The sequence below is a fragment of the Homo sapiens genome, chromosome 17 (genome assembly GCF_000001405.40).
Source record: "Homo sapiens chromosome 17, GRCh38.p14 Primary Assembly".
Classification (NCBI taxonomy): domain Eukaryota; kingdom Metazoa; phylum Chordata; class Mammalia; order Primates; family Hominidae; genus Homo; species Homo sapiens.
The window spans coordinates 50,967,084-50,992,245 of record NC_000017.11 but is presented as its reverse complement, the minus strand read 5'-3'; the positions used below and the strand labels follow the sequence as shown (position 1 = coordinate 50,992,245).

Genomic DNA, 25,162 nt, shown 5'->3' with positions numbered 1-25,162 from the left:
GGCACATTCATAAAAACATAGAGTTTCTGTGTGAGGTGATGGAAAAGCTTTAGAAATAGGCCGGCCATGGAGGTTCACACTCATAATCCCAGCACTTTCAGAGGCCAAGGTGGGACGATCACTTGAGCCCAGAAGTTTGAGACCAGTCTGGGCAATATAGTGAGACCTCATTCCACAAAAAATCAAAAAATGAGGCGGGAGGATAACTTGAGTCGGGGAGGTCAAGACTGCAGTGAGCTACGATTGCACCACTACACACCCACCTGGGCAATGGGAGTAAGACCCTGTGTTTTAAAAAAAAAAAAAAAAAAAAAAAAAAAAAGACCTGGCATGGTGGCTTACACCTGTAATCCAGACACTTTGGGAGGCTGAGGTGGGCGGATCACCTGAGGTCAGGAGTTCGAGACCAGCCTGGCCAACATGGTAAAACCCCGTTTCTACTAAAAATACAAAAATTAGCCAGGTGCAGTGGCAGGCGCTTGTAATCGCAGCTACTTGGGAGGCTGAGGCAGGAGAATTGCTTGAACCTGGGAGGCAGAGGTTGCAGTGAGCCGAGACTGTACCATTGCACACCAGCCTGGGCAACAAGAGTGAAACTCTGTCGCCAAAAAAAAAAAATAATGGTGATGGCTACACAATGTTATAAATATTAATGCCAATATTGTAAATATTAGTGCCACTGAATTGTACACTTTTAAATGGTTAAAGTGGCAAATTTTGTTTATATATATATTATTTTTACTGCAATAAAAGTTTTTAGTGTGATATAAATAAAACAATTTTCTAAATTAAAAAATGAGATTTATTTTTATATTGTAAATATTTTTATATTATAAATGCTTAGTTTTTAATGTTTTACTAATATCTTAATCAACCTATATACTTGGGGCATTTAATTTTTAACAGTAATGGATAGAAGCTTATACTTCAAGTAGTAGCAGTAGTCTTGATGATTTAAAAGAATTTTTTTTTGGCTGATGTTGTCAGATATAATAGATTGTTTTTAACCTGTGGCTGCTGAGGAGCTCACTAAGAACAGAAGCTGGCTAGGCGTGGTGGCTCGCACCTGTAATCCTAGGACTTGTCTGAGGTTGGTGGATCCCTTGAGGCCAGGAGTTCAAGACCAGCCTGACCAACATACCGAAACCCTGTCTCTACCAAAAATACAAAAATTAGCCAGGCGTGGTGGCTCACACCGGTAGTCCCAGCTACTCAGGAGGCTGAGGCAGGAGAATCACTTAAGCCAAGGAGGCGGAGGTTGCAGTGAGCTGAATCATGCCACTGTACTCCAGCCTGGGCGACAGAGTAAGACTCTGTCTCAAAAAAAAAAAAAAAAAAGTTTATTTTCTGACATTTTTATGTTTATTTGCACTTGTGTTAATAGAAGTATTTTCTTAATTTTTTAAGTTACCTTCCCATATTGTGAAGATTTGTTTATGTAAATTTAATGCTACCTGTATTCAACTACCTGTACATCTCACCTGCATAACTCTCATTTCAAACCTGTAATTGTTTTAGTAAAAAAAATGTTATTTATAGAAGTTTACTTTGCTGTTACAAGAAGATTTATTTTTCAGGTGCACGAGAAACAGACTACCCTGCAGGAGAAGATCTTTCAGAATCTGGTCAGGTAGACAAAGCATCTTTATGTGGAAGTATGACAAGCAACAGCTCAGCAGAGACAGACAGCCTGTTAGGAGGCATCACAGTGGTTGGTTGTTCTGCAGAAGGTGTGACGGGAGCTGCCACTTCCCCTAGTACAAATGGTGCTTCTCCAGTGATGGATAAACCACCAGGTATATCCATTCTCTTTACCTGCCATCTGTATAGAGTCTAAGGCTACACTCAGATGCCTCATTATGGACTTAATTTAGATCTTAAGTAACAAGGTTGAAAGAACTTGAAAGAAGATACTGTAGGCCGGGCGTGGTGGCTCACGCCTGTAATCCCAGCACTCTGGGAGGCCAAGGCGGGTGGATCACGAGGTCAGGAGATCAAGACCATCCTGGCTAACACAGTGAAACCCTGTCTGTACTAAAAAGTACAAAAAATTAACCGGGCGTGGTGGCGGGTGCCTGTAGTCCCAGCTACTCGGGAGGCTGAGGCAGGAGAATGGCGTGAACCTGGGAGGTGGAGCTTGCAGTGAGCCAAGATCACGCCGCCGCACTCCAGCCTGGGCAACAGAGCAAGACTCTGTCTCAAAAAAAAAAAAAATGCTGTAATGACTGTTAAATGGAATGAAGAATTCTTAATTTCATGGTACAGTGTGAAGGAGTGGGTAGATGGAATGGAATTCTATAACAGGGGTTTGTGTGGGGAAATAATTGGAGGAGAAAAGCCCAGACTTGGAATAGTGTTTTATTTACTTTGTAGAAATGGAAGCAGAAAATAGTGAGGTTGATGAAAATGTTCCAACAGCAGAAGAAGCAACTGAAGCTACAGAAGGGAATGCGGGGTCAGCTGAAGACACAGTGGACATCTCCCAAACTGGCGTCTACACAGAGCATGTCTTTACAGATCCTTTGGGAGTTCAGATCCCAGAAGACCTCTCCCCAGTGTATCAGTCGAGGTATAATAATGGGTCATCAACTTAGGCAACTGGGTGAAGTGCACAAATAAAAGGAACCAAAATAATCTCAAACAGTCAAAAGATTTCCACTAATTAGTGTCACTGTGGTGGATTAAAAGATACCTATTCTTGTGATAATTTCATGTATTCCCGCTCCATCATTCTCGCTGGATATTCCCCCCCATTTCTTCTGTACACCTTCCAATTTAAAAAAAAAATCTTATCTATAAAAGTATAATCATGCATCAGTCAACAATGGGGATATGTTCTGAGAAATGTGTCATTAGGTGATTTCATCATTGTGTGAACATCATAGAGTGCATTTACACAAATCTAGATGGTATGGCTTATCACACACCTAGGCCATATGGTATAGCCCATTGCTCCTAGGCTAGAAACCTGTACAGCATGTTACTGTACTGAATACTGTAGATAATTGGAACATAACGGTAAGTATTTGTGTATGTAAACATGCACAAGGTACTGTAGAAATATAGTAGTATAATCTTGTGGAACCACCACCATATATTCTGTCCATCATTTTCCAAAATGGTTTTACCAGGTGTGTGACTATATATTAGTCAAAATCTTTCTGTTCATTTTCTCCTCTGATCTGTTTTTTTTTCTTTTTTTTTGTACTTACTGTCTTCCATTCTATAAGTAATTCTTTGTCATTTTAATCCCACCCCTACTCTAATTTTCACTCCAGTTATCAGCAAAATTGGCCATTGTTTAAATCTGCCATTGTACAAGTTTCCCACATGGGTGTGGATGACCTTTTTGAATTTAGTTTTCATGCAAATATTTTATTAAAAAACAACTCAGATAGTTCCAGTGGCTCATGCCTATAATCCCAGCACTTTGGGAGTCTGAGCAGGAGGATTGCTTGAGTCCAGGAGTTCAAGACCAACCTGAGCAACATAGTGAGACCCTCATCTCTACAAAAAACTTAATGATTCGCTGGGCGTGGTAGCGTGCACCTATGGTCCCAGCTACTCAGGAGGCTGAGGTGGGAGGATTGCTTGAGCCCTGGGAGCTGGAGGCTACAGTGGGCCATGATATCACCACTGCACTGCCGCCTGGGAAACAGAACAAGACTCTGTCTCAGAAAACAAACAAACCAAAGAAAACTGTTTGTTTTAGGCTCCTCCGTTAAAGGGTTGGTTAATCTAGGCCCATTTAGTGAATTATTTTATTTTCTTTCCTGCCTTTTCTAGATCCCCTCTAGATGAGAGTCTCTTTAAACTAGATCCTTTTTAAAGTTTAATATTCTTAGTGTATAAAGTAAGAAAGATTAATTAATAACCCATTTATGCCTAGTGGTCCATTATTGGAATGCTAAGCTTGTGGGAGTTATTCATATCCTACTGCTCAAGGTCATCGCTAAGGTCTGATTTTTTACAAAAAAAATTTGCAACCTCCGGCATAAATGGGTTAATATTTAATTCTTTTTTTTTTTTGGAGATGGAATCTCACCCTGTCACCCAGGCTGGAGTGCAGCAGTGCAATCTCAGCTCACTGCAACCTCCGCCTTCCAGGTTCAAGCGATTCTCCTGCCTCAGCCTCCCAGGTAGCTGGGATTGAAGGCATGTGCTGCCACACCCAGCTAATTTTTGTATTTTTAGTAGAGATGGGGTTTTATCATGTTGGCTAGGCTGGTCTTGAACTCCTGGCCTCAAGAAATCCACCCACCTCACCCTCCCAAAGTGCTGGGATTATAGGCGTGAGCCACCGCACCTGGCCTGAATTATTAATTTAAGAATAAGTCATGTTTGAATTTGATAGCCTGGTTATATATCTTTTACTAAATATGCCCTGACAATTCAAAGGAAAGGTTTTGTGATAGAATATTAAACATATTTCAGTTTATTAATTTATTTTAGGTCATTCTTTATATTTCTCCCTACTATTTGTATGTGTGTATCCCTCCCTTCTCTCTCACTTGAGAAGAAACTATGACAAAACCCAAAATAAGAGACAGCCATAGTAATTGTCTGAATATTAACTGCTGTATTTCATTACCATGTCTTATTATCTTTTCTGCTCCTTGGGCTTCCTAGTTTGTTAATGTTATTTCTGGTACAATTGTTGAAATATGTGATGTAAGCTTTTGACTTTGGCTTTTCTGGAATTTTGGTGGTTTCTTTTTTTTTTTTTGACTAAAAGTTGAAGCCAGGTGTGATAGTGTGTGTGCCTCTAGTCCCTGTTATTCAGGAGGCTGAAGTGGAAAGATCACTTGAGCCTGAGAGGTCAAGGCTGCAGTGAGCCCTGATTGTGCCACTGTACTCCAGCCTGGGTGACAGAGTGATACCCTATCTCTAAAAAATAAATAAATAATAAACAAATGAACAAACTTAAATATAGAAGGATTCAGTCCCTGAAAACTATAACGATAGTTAAGTATACTCAGATTTCTTTCCTTTTGCCCTCCCTTTCCAGCAATGACTCAGATGCATATAAAGATCAAATATCAGTACTGCCAAATGAACAAGACTTGGTGAGAGAAGAAGCCCAGAAAATGAGTAGTCTTTTACCAACTATGTGGCTTGGAGCTCAAAATGGCTGGTAGGTGTCAATGCTTTTAACATTAGAATATGTTGTTTTACTTTTGCTTTTGAAATCAGAAGATAAGTAAAATATGGTAAACAAATACAAAAAGTGTGGATTAATGCAAAGAATTTTATATATACACACAATTTGATGTTATGTTGCAACTACCACATAAACTGGACTTGCACTGGTTCTGAATAGTAAGCCATATGTTTCTTTGTCACAGAATGTTCCCTTTCTATAATATTCTTGGAAGAAGAGGTATGTAAAATTTTAAAATCGAGGTGCTCCAGAAATAGAAGATCCTGAACAGCACAAAGACAGAGAATATTTAATTTATGTAGGCTAGAATGTGGGCAGGAAAACAGGGATTAAACCAACATTTTGGCTGCAGGAAGGCCCAATCCCAACTTTTAGTGAATTTTTTACTAAGATAGGTAAAACAAATCACAATCTGCAAAGTCAGATGATGATGACTAATATTATATGGTTTGTTCACTTTCCGGTTGTGTGGAGAGTTTTACAAAATTGTGCATTTACAAAGGTTAAGCAAGATTACTGTTGAGCATCTCTAATCCAAAATTTAAAACTCTTTGACCACTGTTATGATGCTGGCAGGTAATGCTCATTGGAGCATTTTGGATTTTTGAATTAGGAATACTCAACTGTTATGTATGATGTAAACATTCTAAAATCTGAAAAAGTCAGAAATCCCAAGCATTTCAAATAAGGGTTACTCAACCTGTAGTATGTCTTTTTCATATGAGTCCAATACTATAAAGTGAAGAGTTGGCAAACTTAGTGTAACTCTCTTCCAGTAGAGCATTATGGGCATTGTAGTTTGAATTTCATATAAATCTCCCCTGTCGTAAAATACCCTTGATTTCCCCCCCACACACACTTTTAAAAATGTAAAAAGTATTCTTAGCTTGCAGGCTGGATTAAAACAGGTGGCAGACTGGATCTGGCCTGTAGGCCATAGTTTGCCACTCCCTATGTGGGCCACTCTGTCATCCAAAAGTTATAGATCAGTGTAGTAGAGAGGTAAGGCAATTCAAAAAAAGAGTTTTGCCCAAGGACTAAGTGTGTGAACCTGACTGTGCATTGCACTAGTTCTTGCTTTTCAGTCTTCATATGTTTTTCTTTGCTCAGCAGCCTATTTCTTTACCTTAGGCCTACCCTCACTCTCATTTTTCTTTTCTGACCATTGCACAAAAGCAGCAGCACCTTTTCCTAAAATTTGTATGTTACTCTTCTTTCCTTCTGAATGAACTTCGCGATCATTGTTAGATATATGCAATGTCTTGATGTTCTCTATGCCTTACCAGTGTTGACTTTGTTCTTACAGTTTGTATGTCCATTCATCTGTAGCCCAGTGGAGGAAATGTCTCCATTCCATTAAACTTAAAGATTCGATTCTCAGTATTGTGTAAGTTTTATTTTGGAAATTCTTCTTGTTAAAACTATGCATTTTGGTATAAACTAGATTTTAAGACTTTGAAAGCTAATACATGTTTCACGACTAAATTAGTATCCAATTTGTTTGTTTTTTTAACCCTTTTTATGGAACTAGAGAAGTTAAGTGAGAATGAAACTGTATAATAGAAAACGAAGTAGAAAGGATAACTTGCTTGATTGAGTCCTCACCATACTGCGATTTATTTAGCACTGCAGGAAATAACCAATACCTATTAAGTTATGTTTATTTTAGAATATTCTTTATGGCTTGTAAATATGTTGATTGGGGCATTGATTACTAGTTCTTTTCTATGTGTTCACTGTAAAAAAATCAGACAGTTTATCTCTGAGCCTACAGGGCTGACTCTGTTGGTTCCACTCAAGGTGCATGTCTCTGGTCTTTAGAGTTTGTGTTGATTGTCTGTGATGAGAGGAGAACCTTGGGCCAGAAAGTGAAATAACTGAGATACCATTCATACTGTTTATTTAGTTCAGCTGACATTTTTTCATAGCAGGACATCCACAGTGAAGAAAGTGGTGTGTTCATTTATATTCAGGTGTCAGCTCCTTAACTCATCACAGATTGGCCCTTTGTGAGGCCTTGAACTAGTTCAGTAGCATGTGGTCCCTTCTGTATTCCTGAATGGAGAGTTCTGAACTCCCCTTTCCTGTTTGCAGACACGTGAAGGGAATCGTGTTAGTAGCCCTGGCTGACGGCACCCTTGCAATCTTTCACAGAGGAGTGGGTGAGTGGTGATGTGTGTATAACATGGACACTAATTTGTTGCTTTGCAAAGCATTTTTAAGTAGATTGGTTTATGTTTTAAAGAAATGATACTCAGTTTAAAGAATAAATACTAACAATACACAACATCAGTAAATATATTAGTGCGTGCATGGAGGTATACATTAACAGATACCTTAGGGAAAATGTGTTTACCACAATGGGCATTTTATGGTGCTTTTATTTTATTTTATTTTTTGAGACAGAGTCTCGCTCTGTCGCCCAGGCTGGAGTGCAGTGGCGCAATCTCAGCTCACTGCAAGCTCCGCCTCCCGGGTTCACACCACTCTCCTGCCTCAGCCTCCCGAGTAGCTGGACTACAGGCGCCTGCCACCACGACCAGCTAATTTTTTTGTATTTTCAGTAGAGACAGGGTTTCACTGTGTTAGCCAGGATGGTCTCGATCTCCTGACTTTGTGATCTGCCCGCTTTGGCTTCCCAAAGTGCTGGGATTACAGGCGTGAGCCACCGTGCCCGGCTGGTACTTTTAAATAATGTGATAGGGAGGCATTTGTTTTTCATTCATATACTTATGCAATTCGGAGAAACTTGGTGTTTTTTTAATGTCCTATGTGTTAAAAATAATTTGTGTCCACTTAACATTTGGACTTTTTCTTAAAGAATTTTAATTGGGTAAGATTTAATCATTTTCATGTCACCTTATTTATATTCTCCCCCTTTAAAACCATTGTTTCATCTATAGAGGGGTGGTGGTATCAGAAACCCTACCTTAAATGAATTAAGTTGAGGGAATTTAGTATGTATTCCTCCGTAACTCCTTGGTACTTGTGTCAACCAAAAATGATACATCATTTTCTACCCACTTGATTGGTATATCTAGGAAGTATTATGAAACATAGATACCCTGAATTTGGATTTTAGAAAAGCTTTTCCCAAAATCTCCTATCTTTCTGGGCTGGGGAAATGTGGAGTAGATGACAGTTAGGTGCTTTTGTAATTGATTGGTACCTGAAAATTGCTGGTTAATGACTCCATATCATCAAAGAGTGAGAGGGCTCCATTTTACCTTTTTCAGCCCTTTATCTATGTTTAATCTTTACAGTAAATTATTAAGAAAGTTCCATGGTCATCCTCATTTTATAGATGAGGAAACTGAAACACAGAGCATTTTGGTAACTTTTTCATGGCCACTCAGCTAATAAGTGGAAAAGCCTAGAAAAAAAATGAAACAATGCATGTTTTGGTAAATTGAATTCAAAATAATATTGACAGAATAAGACAAGTAAAATGCATTTAGTAAGTGTCAATGTAAAGTCCTGCATTTGAGTTCAGAAGAGCACGATGGGGAGACATGTCTGAAGAGTGAGAATTACCTAAAGGTTGACTATAAACTCAATATGAGTTTAATGCCTTAAGCCTCAAAGACAAGGCTGGTGATAATCCTGCTCTACTAGGCTAGATAAAGACAGCATATTCAATGGACATCAACAAAACAGAGTTAGGATGAAGGGTCTGTAAACTGTGGTAGGTACAGAGCACATGCCAAAGATAACTTGGTTTTGAAAAGAGGAGACATAGGGCTGTAACGAAGAAGTTTGTACTGGATTTATTCTTTTGTTTCCACTCTGCAAGACTGCAGACGAGTGGGTGATTACATACAAAAAGACAGACTTTAGCTAGGTGTGGGTAATATTTTTCAATTAAAGGTGTCTGAAAATAGAATGGCTGCTTTGTGAGGCAGTATGCTCACAAAAGCTAACAAAGCAAAGCGAGGTTCTGATGACTGGTTCTCCTTCATATTTCTAGTATCACTGAAAATATAGTATGCATAATTCCTAAAGTGTTAGCAATGAGTTGCCCTCAACTTCTACCCAAGAAAATACATCAAAATGCACGTGACTGAGAGACGTTATTCCCAAAATAACCTTAAGTCCATTCTAATTCGAAAAATATTATGATAAACAGATAACTTGTAACTGATTTATCATCACATCACTGCTTTTGTGAGCATGTTTTAAAGGGGGTCTAGGTACTGGGTGGCACTTTGAAGCAGATGACCTTTGAGGGTCTCTTCCAACTTTGCAGCTTATGGAATAAAAGAACCCAGGCTGCAAATAAAAGATATACTTAGTACATGGTACTTTGAGTGCTTCCTCAATAAATTTAATTATACAACAAATAAAATGTTTCTTGTGTTGAAATTGAGTAACAGGTGGTATGTATTTACTATAACCTTTTATTTTTTTTAAAGATGGGCAGTGGGATTTGTCAAACTATCACCTCTTAGACCTTGGACGGCCTCATCATTCCATCCGTTGCATGACTGTGGTACATGACAAAGTCTGGTGTGGCTATAGGAACAAAATCTATGTGGTGCAGCCAAAGGCCATGAAAATAGAGGCAAGTTATTAGCCTATGTTTTCTGTATTTATTGAATTTGTATTATCCGAAGACTATTAGACTATAATTATTTTCAGCTTCTTTAGAAATTGTTTCTGGATCTGTGTGTTTTAGGGCACTTGAGTAATGTATTTGAATATCTTAGCTTTCTGTGTTACTTAACTCTCTTGCCAGTTTTGACTGTGAGGGTAGAAAGTGGCTTTTTAAAAAAGGAAAGAGGATTCATACGTGAATGTTTAAATGTGTGTCTGTGTATGTATCCAGAAATATGTATGTGTTTTTGTTTGAATACATGGTTCTTTTTATGTTTAGTTATATGAGGATTGTTTGAGAAGAGGATTCCTCCCTGTCCTCCCCACGTGTAATCCAGGCACATCCACATGTGTGTCCCAGACAGAAATAACATTGCACTGGGAATTTGTTGTAAAAATGAAAACCTCCTAACCTCCTAGCATTATTTTCTTTTTTTCTTTTTTCTTTTTTTTTTTTCTGAGACAGAGTCTTGCTCTGTCACCCAGGCTGGAGTGCAGTGGCATGTTCTTGGCTCACTGCAACTTTCGTCTCCCAGGTTCAAGCAATTCTTCTGCCTCAGCCTCCAAAGTAGCTGGGATTACAGGCTCCCGCCACCACAGCCAGCTAATTTTTTTTGTATTTTTAGTAGAGACGGGGTTTCACCATGTTGGCCAGGCTGGTCTCGAACTCCCAACCTCGTGATCCGCCCACCTTGGCCTCCCAAAGTCCTGGGGTTAAGGCATGAGCCACCGCGTCCGGCCTAGCATTGTTTTCTTACGGTTTTTTTTTTTTTTTGTCACAATACATAAATGCATTCTAATTGTTTAGGGGGACAAAAAGCATACAGGAAATTTTAAGGTGAAAGCCCTCCTTCACCCTCCCCCAAATCACATTTCTTTCCCTAGAAGTCTCAAAGTCAACCATTTGGTGTTTGTTTTTTATATCAATTCTATCTATCTATCTATTCTTTCTTTCTTTCTTTCTATCTATCTATCTATCTATCTATCTATCTATCTATCTATCTATCTTTATCTGTGTATCTGTTTATATCTATCTAATTAGCTAGCTATCTGGCTGTCTATCCATCCATCCATCCATCCATCCATCCATCCATCCATCCACACACAGGTTGAATATCCCTTATTGAAAATGCTTGAGACCAGAAGTGTTTCAGATTTTGGATTTTTTGCAGATTTTGGAATATTTGCATATACATAAATAATGAAATATCTTGGGCATGGAACCCAAAGTCTAAACATAAAATTTATTTATGTTTCCTGTATACTTTATAACAGTGAAAAATATGATATACCATTAGTGCAGTAAAAAAAATACTGTGTTCAGCGTGACTTATGGTATCATATCGGCACTTAAACACTTTCAGATTTTAAAGCATTTCAGATTTCAGATTTTTGGATTGGGAATGCTCAGCCTGTGCCTCACACACATATACAGCAGCGTGGGTTCCTTTTAGTTTAATTATATTTTGGTATTTTTGTTTGTTTGTTTTGAGACAAGGTCTCACTCTGTCACCCAGGATAGAGTGCAGGGGCGCAATCATAGCTCACTGCAGCCTCAGACTCCTGGGCTCTAGCAAGCCTCCTGCTTCAGCCTCCCAGGTAGCTGAGATCACAGGCACACACCATTATACCTGACTAATTTTTCTTTAGTTTATTTGTAGAGACGGGATCTTGCTATGTTGTCCAGACTGGCCTCAAACTCCTGGGCTCAAATAGTCCTCCCACCTCAGCCTCCCAAGTAGCTAGGAATACAGGCATGCACCACTATTCCCAGCTAATTTTTGTATTTAGAGTTGGGATGTCACCATGTTTCCCAGGCTGATCTCAAACTCCTGTGTTCAAGAGATCCTCCCACCTCGGCCTTCCAAAGTGCTGGGATTACAGGTGTGAGCCACCAGCGCCCAGCCTGATTAATTATAATTGTGATCTTATTTCAACACAGTGGCTCTGCAACAACACAAAATCCGGAGATAAAATCTTTCTGTTAGGCCAGGTGCGGTGGCTCATGCTTGTAATCCCAGCACTTTGGAAGGCCGAGGTGGGCAGATCACTTGAGGTCAGGAGTTTGAGACCAGCCTGGCCAACATGATGAAAGCCTGTCTCTACTAAAAATACAAAAATTAGTCCGGCATGGTGGTGTGCGCCTATAATCCCGCTACTCAGGAGGCTGAGGAAGGAGAATCGCCTGAACCCAGGAAGGGGAGGTTGCAGTGAGCCGAGATTGCGCCATTGCACTCCAGCCTGGGCGACAAGAGTAAAGACTCTGTCTCAAAAATAAAAAATAAAGAAATAAAAAAAATCTTTCTGTTGAGCACTGTTACATAGTGTGGATGCGCTAGTATTGCTGTTATAAGGTGATATCCTATATAGTGCTGAAGTCCAATATCCCGTTCTTAGTTCTTTATTTTTTGCATTCCAGGATGAAAACAATTGTGTATATAAGAGTAATCATGTTTAATATATAATATTTGGGCTTGTCTTTTAATAGTCTGCTAACTTGTGCAAATTAGCACAGTTTTAAATATGAAATTCTATGTAGCAAAAGTAACTTTGTGATTGGACAATCTCTCCTAGAAATCTTTTGATGCACATCCCAGGAAGGAGAGCCAAGTGCGACAGCTTGCGTGGGTGGGGGATGGCGTGTGGGTCTCCATTCGCTTGGATTCTACGCTCCGTCTCTATCATGCACACACTTATCAACATCTACAGGATGTGGACATTGAGCCTTATGTAAGCAAAATGTTAGGTAAGCTTCCAACGCGTTTTATCTTTACCAGTCAAAGAGGGTGTTTTATTTTATCTATCTATGTGTTTATTGAAATGAGGTCTTGCTTTGTTGCCCAGGATGGAGTGCAGTGGCTATGCACAGGTGCAGTCATAGCACACTATAGCCTTGAACTCCTGGGCTCAAGCGATCCTCTCACCTCAGCCTCCGGAGTAGCTGGGACTGTAGGTAGGCACAGCCACCTCACCCAGTCCTTGTTTTTATTTTTAAATAGTCTAAAATGCTGGGTAGAACCAATGAATTAAGTTATCTCAGGAGTAGTGAACTTTTATCATTGAAAGTGTCAGACGTTTCAATCTACCTTACTCTTTTTTTTTTTTTTTTTTCTTTTTTTCAAGACGGGGTCTCACTCTGTCACCTAGGCTGGAGTGCAGTGGCACCATCACGGCTCACTGCAGCTTTGACTTCCTGGGCTCAAGTGATCCTCCCACCTCAGCCTTCCCAGTAGCTGGACAGGCCTGCACTATCATGTTGGCTACTTTTTTTTTTTTTTCCTGTAGAAATGAGGTTTCACTGTGTTGCCCAGGCTGGCCTTAAACTCCTGGGCTCAAGTGATTGGCCCAGACCTCAGCCTCCCAAAGTGCTGGTGTTACAGGCATGAGCCAATGCACCTGGCCCCTTATTGTTCTTGATGGAAAGTTGGGATCATTTTGGACTCCTCTTCTCTTATTTCCCACATCTAATCTGTCACTGGGAACTGTCAAGTCTGCCTCTAAAACTGTATTAAATCAGTTACTTCTTTATCTCTACCACTATCCTTTTACCCCCAGGCCTCCTAACTGGGCTCCCTGTTGCCACCCCAGTCTGTTCTCTGCCTAGTAACCAAGGTGCAGATATTACCTTCACACACCTCCACTGTTGCCTTTAGGTGAGGTGACATGACCAGGAGACCTTACATGTTCTCAAACACTCTCCTTGCTCATACCGACCCACAGCTCAGCAAGCTCCTTCCCATTTCAGGGTCCTCACATGTGCTGCTGTATCATCTACCTGGGAAGTTCTTCTTGGTCCCTTTTTACTTACTTAGCTTTCAGGTCATAGCCTAACTGTCATAATCAGGAGAGACCATTTAGGTCCTGTCATACTTTTTCTTCATGGGCTTATCATTATTGTGATCGTACCAGTCTTATGTGATTCTTGTTTATAATCTCTCCCCTACAGACCCTAAGCCCCGTGAAGATCAGGGACCATCATTGTCTTGTTCCCTGCTCTATCTTTAGCACCTGACCTAGTGTTATAATGATTATTAGAAATGTCATAAAGGATTCCTTTCATGAAAAATGATTGAACTGGATCAGTGGTTTTCAACCATTTAGAGTTACTGCCCTCAGAAAACCTTATTTCTAGCTATGTACCTTCTCCCTAGAATATATACACATGCAAACACAAACTAATTTCAGGGATCTACTTTGACTGGAGGTTAAAGGTTCCTAGGTTAGGCTGAATGGTAATTAAGCCTCCTTCTAACACTGTGATTCAGCGATCATGCCCTCAGTTCTTGTAAGTAGAACTTATGAGTACTAGTGTTGTCTTTCTTAAATGTATTACCTGCTCAATAAATTTGTCTTTCAAGTCACTGAAAATAAGATCAGTTGTAAAAATTAACTTGAAATACAAAAATGCGTTTGTTCTCCCTAAATTATTTGTGTATAATACTTAAAATGTTTAAACTGCTTTAGAACCTAAGTATATAAATGAGGGGAAAAGTATAGATTTTGTTTACAAAGATTTTTATCTGTGCAAAGAAAACTTAAGGGAAACCAGAACTTTTTCAGCTTATAAGATCAAAGGACACTTGATTTATCTGGGTTTGTTTGTTTTTAGAGACAAAGTCTTGGTCCGTTGCACAGGCTGGAGTGCAGTGGTTGGATCACAGTTCACAGCAGCCTCAAACTCCTGCGCTCAAGTGACCCTCCCACCTCAGCCTCCCACATAGCTGGGACTACAGGCATGTGCCACCATGCCTGGCTAATTTTTGTACTTTTTGTAGAGGTGAGGTCTGTTGCCCAGGTTGGTCTCAAACTCCTGGGATCAAGCAGTCATCCCACCTTGTAGGATCTACAGGAGTGAGCCACCGTGCCCTGCCAGTTTCACTGTTTTCTGTTGGGGTTTTTTGTTTTATGTGTTGGTTTGGTTTTACAGTTCCCTAAGTAAATCCTGTGTCACAGTTCCTGATGTATCCTATTTCCTGTGTACTTTTCTTCTAACTAATAATGTTATGTTACCCACTTTTAGGCTTTTCTTTTTCCATTAACCCTGAATTGTCAGATAGACAATAAGCCCCAATATGAGCTTACTTTGATGTGAACCTTCAGGAAACATCCATCTAGCTCTAGTCACATTTCCTCTGTGTTGTATCAATCCTGCTACTACTACTTTCTTTCTTTTTTTTTTGTTTTGTAATCCTGCTACTTCTAAGGAACTTGGAATGTAAAACACTGTCTGCTTTAGTTTCTCAATAACGTGTTCCCTCCTTTCTTTACAGGTACTGGAAAACTGGGCTTCTCTTTTGTGAGAATTACAGCTCTTATGGTGTCTTGTAATCGTTTGTGGGTGGGGACAGGAAATGGTGTCATTATCTCCATCCCATTGACAGAAAGTAAGTATATTTTTAGATAACTGCCATGGAACAAATAGGAGAATTATAGGAAATAGTTATGTCTGAAATTCAAATCTGTGTTAGCTCAGAAAATCAGTGATGGCAAAGATCTAGCTATAGTTACTTCACTCAATGAAACTTATAAATTCTAGGAAAATAAGTTTTCATGTATCAAGACCAATACTCATAATTAAAAGTTTTTCGTTGTCAAAACATTTTCACAGTTCAGGAATCACAGTCCTATTTCATCTTTTGAAATAAAAGTTAAAGTCCATTTTTCTTAAGCCTTATTATACCATTATCCAAAAACACTACCTAGCATTCATCTTAGTTTTTCATATCTCCTTAGCAGATAGTTTAGTATATTCCATTTGTCTTATTTGAGGTTTAAAAAAAGTTGTGGAAGAAGTTTCTCAGGAGTTCAGCAAGCCTTTCCATCTATCTTCTATTTTAAAAGAATGTGATTTATTGTTTTTATGAATAAAATATACCTCGTGTGTTTCTCATATGATGTTCCATTACATTAATCATCCATTAAGTAAATGTTTTTGTGTTGCAAAATTCATGGCAGGGAATGGTTTAAAAGCAAATACTGTAAGTCTATAAAATACATTAATACATATACACTTCAAAATCACCATACCTTTTTTCAGGCCAGAGGAGGGAGAAAGACTAGAAGGTATTTCGGAAGCCTTTAAAAGAAAGCAAGGTTTCAATCCCACCTGTCTTTTCTGCAGTTACTTATAAATCATATTTAGACCTCTCCTTATATCCTAAGAGATTCCAGGATCCCCTAGAGTTCATTTCAGTTATTTGTAAGAGCTTCATTTTAGCATAGTTATTGGAACAGGATTTGTTTTTTAAAACACACACACACAGAGAAATAAAGGAGAAATTTTAGCATTTAGGAAATGCTGCACATTGAGTTCTTAGTGTTTTGATTCAGATTCACTAAAATTGCTTTATTATTTAAAAAAAAAACACCATAAATCAGATTTTCCTTTTTCAGCAGAGATTCTAATAGAAGCCTTGGGAAGAACTTTATGTATTACTTGGTATTATGCCAAGTGGGATCTTGTTATTTTCGTTAGGGGCTTTGAGCACCAGGTTTACCAGATAGAAGACGCTGAGAGTGGTGGCTCACAGTAATTCTCTCCTCCCTGTCATGCACCTCTCCATGTCCCCTTTCCTCCTTTCTCACTTTAGCCGTAATCCTCCACCAGGGACGTTTACTGGGGCTGAGGGGTAAGTGCAGATTCTGAACCAAACTCTTCTTCCTGGCTTCTAATAGCCACTGTAAGGCTGTTACCACTCCTCTAGAATACCCTCTTGAATGTTCCTAAATGTTATCCACTTGCAGTCACTGCATCGCAGCAGGTGTCTTTTTTTTTTTTTTAATGTTTGTTACATGGCCACCAAACTGCTCAGCAGCTTAGTCTATTTATCATCTTTTGTTGCAGCTGAACTTTCTTTCAGACTTTGTTTTCCTTCCAGTATAAACATGAAACATCTCTTAAAGCTGTCATTAATTTACATCGTTTACTCTTGTTACCGATCATATTTCTTTCATTTACTTACTTGCCCATGGAATGGGGATGTTTTGTGAGTCTGGTCTTTTACAGTACGCAGCACACCATCAGTCTGGTATCAATAAAAGCTGCTCTATTGTAGTGGCTGGATTCTTGTAAGCACAACTTTTTACCAACCCCCTCAAGGGAAATATTCTTACTGTGAGGGAGAAAAATCAGAAGATAAACTATAAAGAAAGACTTTATTTGCAAATATACCCATTTACTTTAAACTGTATAATGGTTAGTTTTCTAACATGTGCATTAAAAACAAAACAAGAAACAACTAAGATTCAAATTTGTTTTTTTTTTAACTAAAATTATTTTTTAAATGAATAGATGTGTTTAAAAAATAAGCTTACTTATTGCTAGACTGGCAAAATCCCCTACTCCATTTACTGAGGTACTTAAAAATAACTAGCATGCTGTATCTCTTTTTTTCCCAGCTTTGTCTTGAATTGGCATTGCCATCCTTGTTTTATCTCAACTGGCTGTAGCTTTTAGATAATATCATAAGGATTAACCAGTAACCTCTTACATTCATTACTGTTTTCTAGGGGAAAATATTTGGTATTTGGTTTTTCTGTTGCAGCAAATAAAACCTCAGGTGTACCAGGAAATCGTCCTGGAAGTGTAATCCGTGTATATGGTGATGAAAACAGTGATAAAGTGACTCCAGGGACATTTATACCCTATTGTTCAATGGCACATGCACAGCTTTGCTTCCATGGGCACCGGGATGCTGTGAAATTCTTTGTGGCAGTCCCAGGTATGTTAGATTATTCTGTTGAGATGTTCCATGTAATTGTCTCTCTTCTGTCATCTCTTGGTTCCACTACCTAATAGTCTAAGGCTAAGTACTCGAATTGCAGGTAATTTCAATATATACGAAGGAAGTTCTGTAATGGAGGTGTGACTAAGGTGCTATAGGGATACTTGAATGAAGTTACTTTGGAATATCTCTCCCACCCCCAAAGATAAATTTGTTGATTTTTCTTTAGGAGACTTGCTTACTTTTGAAAAGCAGTAGTATTATTTTATCATCGTGGATTGCCAAAAATGGTCTTGACCTAATAAGAGAAATCACTAGAAAGAAGCTTCTATCATCAAGGCTGCATGGAGGAAGAGAGAATGCACTCTGGTACCTTTAGCAGCTTAATAGGAAAAAGCAGTGAACTAGGAGGCCTGGGGGTCTGGCCCCTGTGTCTCTGCCACTAACCTCGAGCAAGGCACTTAACCTCAGAGACTCATTTCCTCACTCCTAGGTGGATGTGATTAATATCTGCTCTGCCTACTTCATTTGTTATGAAAATTAATGAAAATGCTACTGGGAGCTATAAAGCACCACCCAGAAAAAAGATGGAAGTGATGATGTCCAGTGAAAAATGACAAATTATCCATTGACAATACTTAAGTGATGTCACTGACCATCTGTAAGCAGGACACAGGTTTTGAATTTTTTTTTCCCATAAGAGGCAAGTTTAGGAGCTAGACGAAGTTCAGATCTGACTTTCCCCCACCAACTAACTGTGTGATGTAGTATATTAGTCAGGGTTCTTCAGAGAAACAGAACCAATAGGATGCATGTGTATGTGCGTATGAAGAGAGAGTTACTGTTAAGAAATTGGGTCACACAGTTGTGGGGACTAGCAGGTCTGAAATCTGCAGGGCAGGCTGGCAGGCTGGAGACCCCGGGAAGAGTGGATGTTGCAGTCCAAATCTGAAAGCAGTCTGGAGGCAACATTTCTCTTTCCTCTGGATCCCTCAGTCTTTTTCTTCTAAGGCTTTCAACTGGTTAAATGAGGCCCACCCACACTGTGGCGTGTAATCTGCTTTACTCAAAGTCTGTTGTTTTAAATGTTAATCACATCTAAAAAAGACTTACAATGATATCTAGACTGGTGTTTGACCAAATATCTGGGTATCGAGCTAACACGTCAAATTACTCATCATACTTATTTTCCCAAGGGTCTTCCAAAGATTAAATGATTTTATGTACATGGGGCAAGGGCTGGCATATGGTACCCTAAGCAATTATTCAGTTATTCTTAACAACAGTGATAATGAGCTTTCTGAAACCTCATTTGTACATTTTATATATTTGTATAGTCATTTCCTTCCTAGAAATGGGATTGCTGGTAACAGTGTTTCTCTTGCTTAAAAAAAAATGAAATATCACAGTTTCCTTTAAATCTCCTTTGTATCCCTCTCCAATCCCATTCTCCTCTCCTTTTCCTCTCCATTGGTAACCACTATCTTGAAGTCGATGCAAATCCTCTTGCCCCTGTTTTTGTATTTTTACTATGTTTGAATGTGTTTATAAACAATGTATGATTGTTTTGTGGTTTTGGACTTTACATGTTAAATGTTGTGTTTTATATGTATGCTTCTACAACTTGCTTCTCATTTTTTGAGATTTATCAATGTTCATACATAAAAATCTAGTTTATTCATTTAACTGGTATTATAACTGAATAAAAGTGCTACATTTTATTCATTCTTCTGTTGATGGACCTCTAGGCTTCTCCCCTTTCTTTTTTCACTATTAAAAACAATACTGAAGCAGACCTTCTTGTGTGCATGTGTAAGGATTTTTTGTTGGGTATAAATCTAAAAGTGGAATTAGCAACATGGTTGTTGCGAGGCCAGTTGGCCCTAAAGATTAAACCATTCTGGTTGGCCTTATCAGTAATACCACTGTGCTCTTGCTTCTGTGGCAGAACTAACTCGTCTACCAACAGAAGTCATTGCTGGCATGCTTGATTTCTTCCAAAGTATAATTGAGTAATGCATGAATGAATCCCTGTGGGGATACGTCAGACTATCCTATCCACTTTCAACATACATTAATTTTGTTACAGTGTGTCGCATTAATGGCTGTCCAGCTAGCTCCTGGAGGCGCAGTCTGTGTAGTTTGACCAAAGGACAGCAGATTCTGACAAGGAAAAAAATATCCCACAATTAAATCTTGCTAAGAGGGTTGGCTTAGAGATTGCTCATTTGTTCATAGTTGTGAATAATATTTAAAGGTTTCTCTCTTTCTATTATTTCACACTCAAGGATTCTACCTTAGAACTTAAGCTTTAGAACAAACAGCACATTTACTAGTAATTTTGTTTGCATAATCTAAATTAAAAATAACCTGTATTTTCCTTAAATATGAGAGGAAAGCCATAGATTTGAAATAAATTTAAATGTTAATTATGACTATGCAAACTCATAGGGCTTAAGTTGAAGACTTTTCTCAGTCTCTTACACAAATAAGCACATTCCTTTTCAAGGGAGAGACCTTTTCCACTGTCTTCTCAGATCAAAAGATTTAGACTATAATAGTTTGAAGCAGGTAGGCTGTGCATGGTGGCTCACACCTGTAATTCCACAACTTGGAAATCAAGGCAGGAGGATCACTTGAGCCCAGGAGTTTGAGACCAGCCTGGGCAAACATAGCAAGACTTCATTAAAAATTTTTAAGAGACCAGGCACAGTGTCTCATGCCTGTAATCCCAGCACTTTGGGAGGCCTAGGTGGGTGGATCACTTGAGGTCAGGAGTTTGAGACCAGCCTGACCAACTTGGTGAAACCCCATCTCTACTAAAATACAAAAATTAGCCGGGCGTTGTGGCAGGCACCTGTAATCGCAACTACTTGGGAGGCTGAGGCAAGAGAATTGTTTGAACCCCAGAGGCGAAGGTTGCAGTGAGCCGAGATCGCGCCATTGCACTCTAACCTGGGCCACAAGAGCGAAACTCTGTCTCAAAAATAAATAAATAAAGTAATTTGGGCCAGGTGCAGTGGCTCATGCCTGTATTCCCAGCACTTTGGGAGGCCGAGGCAGGCAGATCATGAGGTCAGGAGATTGAGACCATCCTGGCTAACACGGTGAAACCCTGTCTCTACTGAAAAAGTTAGCCGGGCATGGTGGCACGTGCCTGTAGTCCCAGCCACTCAGGAGGCTGAGGCAGGTAAATCGCTTGAACCCGGGAGGCGGAGGTTGCAGTGAGCCAAGATTGTGCCACTGCACTCCAGCCTGGGCGACAGAGCAAGACTCCATCTCAAAAAAAAAAAAAAAAAAAAAAAAAAGGTAGTTTGAAGCAGGCAGCTAAGACCCACCTTGCCATGCATATATCTCATATTGGATTTGGGGCCTATTCCTGCTTTGTTACAAAATTGCTTTACTTAGATTTTCAAATTGGGTTTTGTTTGTTTGTTTGTTTGTTTGTTTGTTTGTTTTTTAGAAGCAAGGTCTTGCTCTGTTGCCTAGGCTGGAGTACAGTGGCGCATCACAGCTCACTGCAACACTGAACTCCTGGGCTCAAGTGATCTTTCTGCCTCAACCTCCCAAGAAGCCAGGATTACAGGCGCATACCACCATTCCCGGCTAACTTTTTTGGTAGAGATGAGGCCTTACTATATTTGCCAGGCTGGTCCCAATCTCCTGGCCTCAAGTGATTCTCCCACTTCGGCCTCTCGAAGGTGTGAGCCACCATGCCTGACCTCAAATCGGGTTCTTAAAACCTTCATGTAAATGTTTTCTGATCATGCAGAGCCTTCTAGCTTCCCCAGTATTTGGTTATTAGAATATATTTACCTTTTTGTTTAACTCTAAAAATACTTAAAAAAAAAAAACAAAACAGCCTCCCTTCTGTGATAAGTAATATTCACTTTTGTTTCTGTATAAAACAGGTCAAGTCATCAGCCCACAAAGTAGCAGTAGTGGCACGGATCTGACGGGTGACAAAGCAGGGCCATCTGCACAGGAGCCTGGTAGTCAGACGCCCTTGAAGTCTATGCTTGTCATCAGTGGAGGAGAGGGCTACATCGACTTCCGAATGGGTATGTCATTGGTTCTGGGTGCTCAGTTTGCACTGTGTGCTATGACTTGGGTTTTGTCCCAAAGTAAATAAGAAACCACTCTGATAATGATTTATAAGAGGTTCTCTTTGAGCTCTTTACACACGAAAGGATTTTGTGGGTTTTTGTTTTTTGTTTTTTTCTTTTTGGTATTTCTTTCTTTTTTTTTTTTTTTTGAGATGACGTCTCACTCTGTCACCCAGGCTGGAGTGCAGTGGCATGATCTCAGCTCACTGCAATCTCTGCCTCCAGGTTCAAGTGATTCTCCTGCTTCAGCCCCCCAGGTAGCTAGAATTACAGACATGCACCACCACATCTGGCTAGTTTCTGTATTTTCAGTAGAGACAAGGTTTCACCATGTTGGCCAGGCTATTCTCAAACTCCTGACCTCAAGTGATCCGCCTGCCTCGGCCTTCCAGCTGGGATTACAAGCCCGAGCCACCGCACCCGGCCCTTGGTATTTCTTTTCATACCAAAATGTATTTGTTTGAAAGGAGCATTAGAAATAGCAGGATGTGGTCAATGTGAAGTTTTATGTGAAAAGCATAGGATTTAGGGTCAGAAGGCCTTGGACAAGTCATTCAACCTCTTAGAGCCTCGGTTTTCTGTCAAAATGGAGAAATAAAAATATTTCTTAAACAACTTCATTTGTTCATTTTCTCACCTAACAAACATTAATTGAGCACCTACTGTGTACCTGTCATTCTTAAACTGGAGATACAGAAACAAATCAGACAAAGCCTTCGTCTAATAGATTATAGAACAGTGCAGAGATAGAGACATGTTAATAAATTAAAATGTTACTGATGCTCTGGTAGTGAGTAGTCAGTTCTTTCCAAGGGTAGGGAGAGAAGGAAGTCAAGAAATGATGCTTGAGGTGACTCAGCACTGCATAGTCTTAGCACAAAGGGTCAGGTTGGGGAATGGGGTGGGGAGGACCAGGGGTTGGCACTCCGAGGTAAGAGAATAGCTTGGCCAAAGGTTTAGAGATATGAAACCATTTTAATGGAAGAAAAACTATTTTAAAATGACAAGAGTGTGGAGTAGAAGAAAGTATGAATTTGTTGTCAAAAGGGAGGGAGGGACTGGAGTATGGGAGGCCTTTACATACCAGATTAAGAAGATTGTACTTTATCTTTCAAGCAAAAGAGAACTATAGGAGCAATGTGATTAGAGTTGTGTGAAGGATGGACTGGAGGTTCAAGACTAGACCTAGGGAAATGAGTTGGGAACAAGTGAATGCCCAAGAAAGGTAGTAACAGTGTGAACAGATAAGAAGCATGATGAGAATGTGGGGAAGGAGAGAATGGGCCATAGAGCTCAGGACTGTCAACAGGAGAAGCAGGTCTGGAGGGACGGAAAGAGGAGTCCAGTGCTGATCATGTTGATCTTGAAGAGCATAGTGGTGATTTAGGTGGGAAATTTCCACTGGGCTTCTGAATATACAGGTCCTCTATCTTAGGAGGGAGGGATTTGGGGGCTGTCAGCATGGAGTGGTACTAAAAGCCATGAGGGTTGGTGAGTTCGCCCAAGGAGCTAAAAGAAAAGGTTCCAGTGGCTAAACCCAGTCTCTAATAAAAATACAAAAATTAGCTGAGCGTGATGCCGTGTACCTGTAATCCCAGCTATTCAGGAGGCTGAGGCAGGAGAATCACTTGAACCCGGGAGGTGGAGGTTGCAGTGAGCCGAGATCACACCACTGCACTCCAGCCTGGGTGACAGAGTGAGACTCCATCTCAAAAAAAGAAAAGAAAGAAAAAGGAAAGGTTCCAGGATAGAACCCTGAATTCATACTCCATTTAAAGATCATTAGAGCTTATGGAGGGATCTGAGAAGGAATGGCCAGAGAGGTACAAAGAAAACATGGAGAACTGATGCTCGTGAAAGAGTAGTGCTTTGTAAATTGTAAGACACTGTACAAATATGTTTATTTATTTGCTATAATTTTTCTTTTTTGAGACAGAGTCTCACACTCTGTCACCCAGGCTGGAGTGCAGTGGCACAATCTTGGCTCACTGCAACCTCCACCTCCCGGTTTCAAGCAATTCTCATGCCTCAGCCTCCCGAGTAGCTGGGATTTCAGGCATGTGCCACCACGCCTGGTTAATTTTTGTATTTTTAGTAGAGACGGGGTTTCACCATGTTGGCCAGGCTGGTCTCGAACTCCTGGCCTCAAACAGTCCACCTGCCTCAGCCTCCCAAAGTGCTGGGATTACAGGCATGAGGCACCGCACCCAGCTTATTTGCTATAAATAAACTGATCCCTTGGACTCGCTTAAAATCTCAGTGCTTCAAAAAGTTCCCAGACATAAGGCAGTAGGCAGTTTGAGAGAATATAATAGTGTTGTAGATCAGTAACAAATACTTTAGATATGAATTCTGTAAAGGAATAAAAAAAAATTAGGGTCATTTAAATGACAATGTGACAAATGTGATTAGTGTCACCAATATCTGATGCAAAAAGTTTGTTGACACTTTTAAGAGGGGAAGGCTGTTAGTGTGAACTTTAGAAATTGATTCCAGGGATGTCAGCAGGAATGGAGTCATTTCAAAGTGTTTTGAATAATTGACTATTGTTGAATTCCCTTTTATGAGAGGAGTTGTTAGGGACTCCACTTGGCTGGGGTGATTTTTGTAACTTTGTGTTGGAGTGCAGTATGTCAGTTGGAACCGTACTGAGGAGTTTGTTAATAAAATCTCTATGTGGTTTTTCCATTTCCACTAAAAATTCCTTCCATTGTGGATCCTGAAAATAGAACAAAAATTGCTTAACCAGGTTTGGCAGTATCTCTAGTTATTTCCAGCCTGAAAAACAGACTTGTCTTTAGCATAGGCTAATTTTAATAGTGAATATACTGTTGTAAAAAATCAAATTTGATCTTTTTTGGGGGTCCATTTCCTTTTTCATTTCCTGTAATATTTTAACAGTGAGAAATTGATTCTAAAGTCCCATATTTTTAATGATTTAAACTTAAAACTTAGGCTGTAGAGACCCTAGCAGACAGGATAATTTTCTTACAAGTAAAATCTTCAGAACAACTCAGAAGAGAAATGGCGACAGCCTTTTGTCTCAGCCAGTTAATTTTTTTCATTGAAATTTTTTAAAATTTAAGAGCCAAACTTAATTTTTTTACCTTCTAACCACCTGGGTATGTTTCAGTTCAGAGATGGGAGTTTGAACTGAGTGTTCTCCTCTCTCTAGTTTGATATTGCTGTGAAAAGGCCATTACAGGGCTGGGTAAGGGAAAGTTTGGCCTGCAGAGAAAAATGCAGATATTTAGGGTTTTTTCTCTTCTGTTGTTTCTAGTCAACAGTATCAATATTTTCTTTTGTCCAGCTGAAATTCACATGGGGCACATTACAAAATTCTGTTAGATCAGTGGAATATATCTTTAGGTCCTGTGGTGTGTATGTTTTTAGGATTCTGCTGAAGAATCCATCCCACTAGACAACTTTTCACTGGGTTGTGCCAAAATAACCCTGCTCTGTGACAACAGATACAATTGATGCAAGCTTGTATCGAGAATTATGGTATGCCCTGCACTGGGTCTTATGGAGAGGAGTGTGGTGTACCCCAGACTGGGCCTTGGAAGCCAGTGTCTGAT

At 39.7% G+C, this 25,162-nt stretch overlaps 1 protein-coding gene across 10 annotated transcripts in view; it reads left to right on the top strand.

Annotated features, from left to right (window-relative positions):
- The window catches only part of SPAG9 (sperm associated antigen 9), a 158,695-nt gene that overhangs the window by 128,623 nt on the left and 4,910 nt on the right, over positions 1 to 25,162 (top strand). For 5 of the 10 annotated variants that reach the window (XM_005257771.4, XM_005257768.3, XM_017025285.3 and 2 more), the window contains 11 exons: positions 1,578 to 1,796; positions 2,374 to 2,569; positions 5,009 to 5,134; positions 6,468 to 6,548; positions 7,256 to 7,323; positions 9,574 to 9,722; positions 12,329 to 12,500; positions 15,025 to 15,138; positions 16,345 to 16,383; positions 17,299 to 17,475; positions 21,390 to 21,539. In XM_005257771.4, the coding sequence (XP_005257828.1) occupies positions 1,578 to 1,796; positions 2,374 to 2,569; positions 5,009 to 5,134; positions 6,468 to 6,548; positions 7,256 to 7,323; positions 9,574 to 9,722; positions 12,329 to 12,500; positions 15,025 to 15,138; positions 16,345 to 16,383; positions 17,299 to 17,475; positions 21,390 to 21,539 (1,491 nt within the window). The remainder of the gene's footprint in view (positions 1 to 1,577; positions 1,797 to 2,373; positions 2,570 to 5,008; positions 5,135 to 6,467; positions 6,549 to 7,255; positions 7,324 to 9,573; positions 9,723 to 12,328; positions 12,501 to 15,024; positions 15,139 to 16,344; positions 16,384 to 17,298; positions 17,476 to 21,389; positions 21,540 to 25,162) is intronic. The other 5 variants (NM_003971.6, NM_001130527.3, NM_001130528.3 and 2 more) reach the window with 1 other exon arrangement.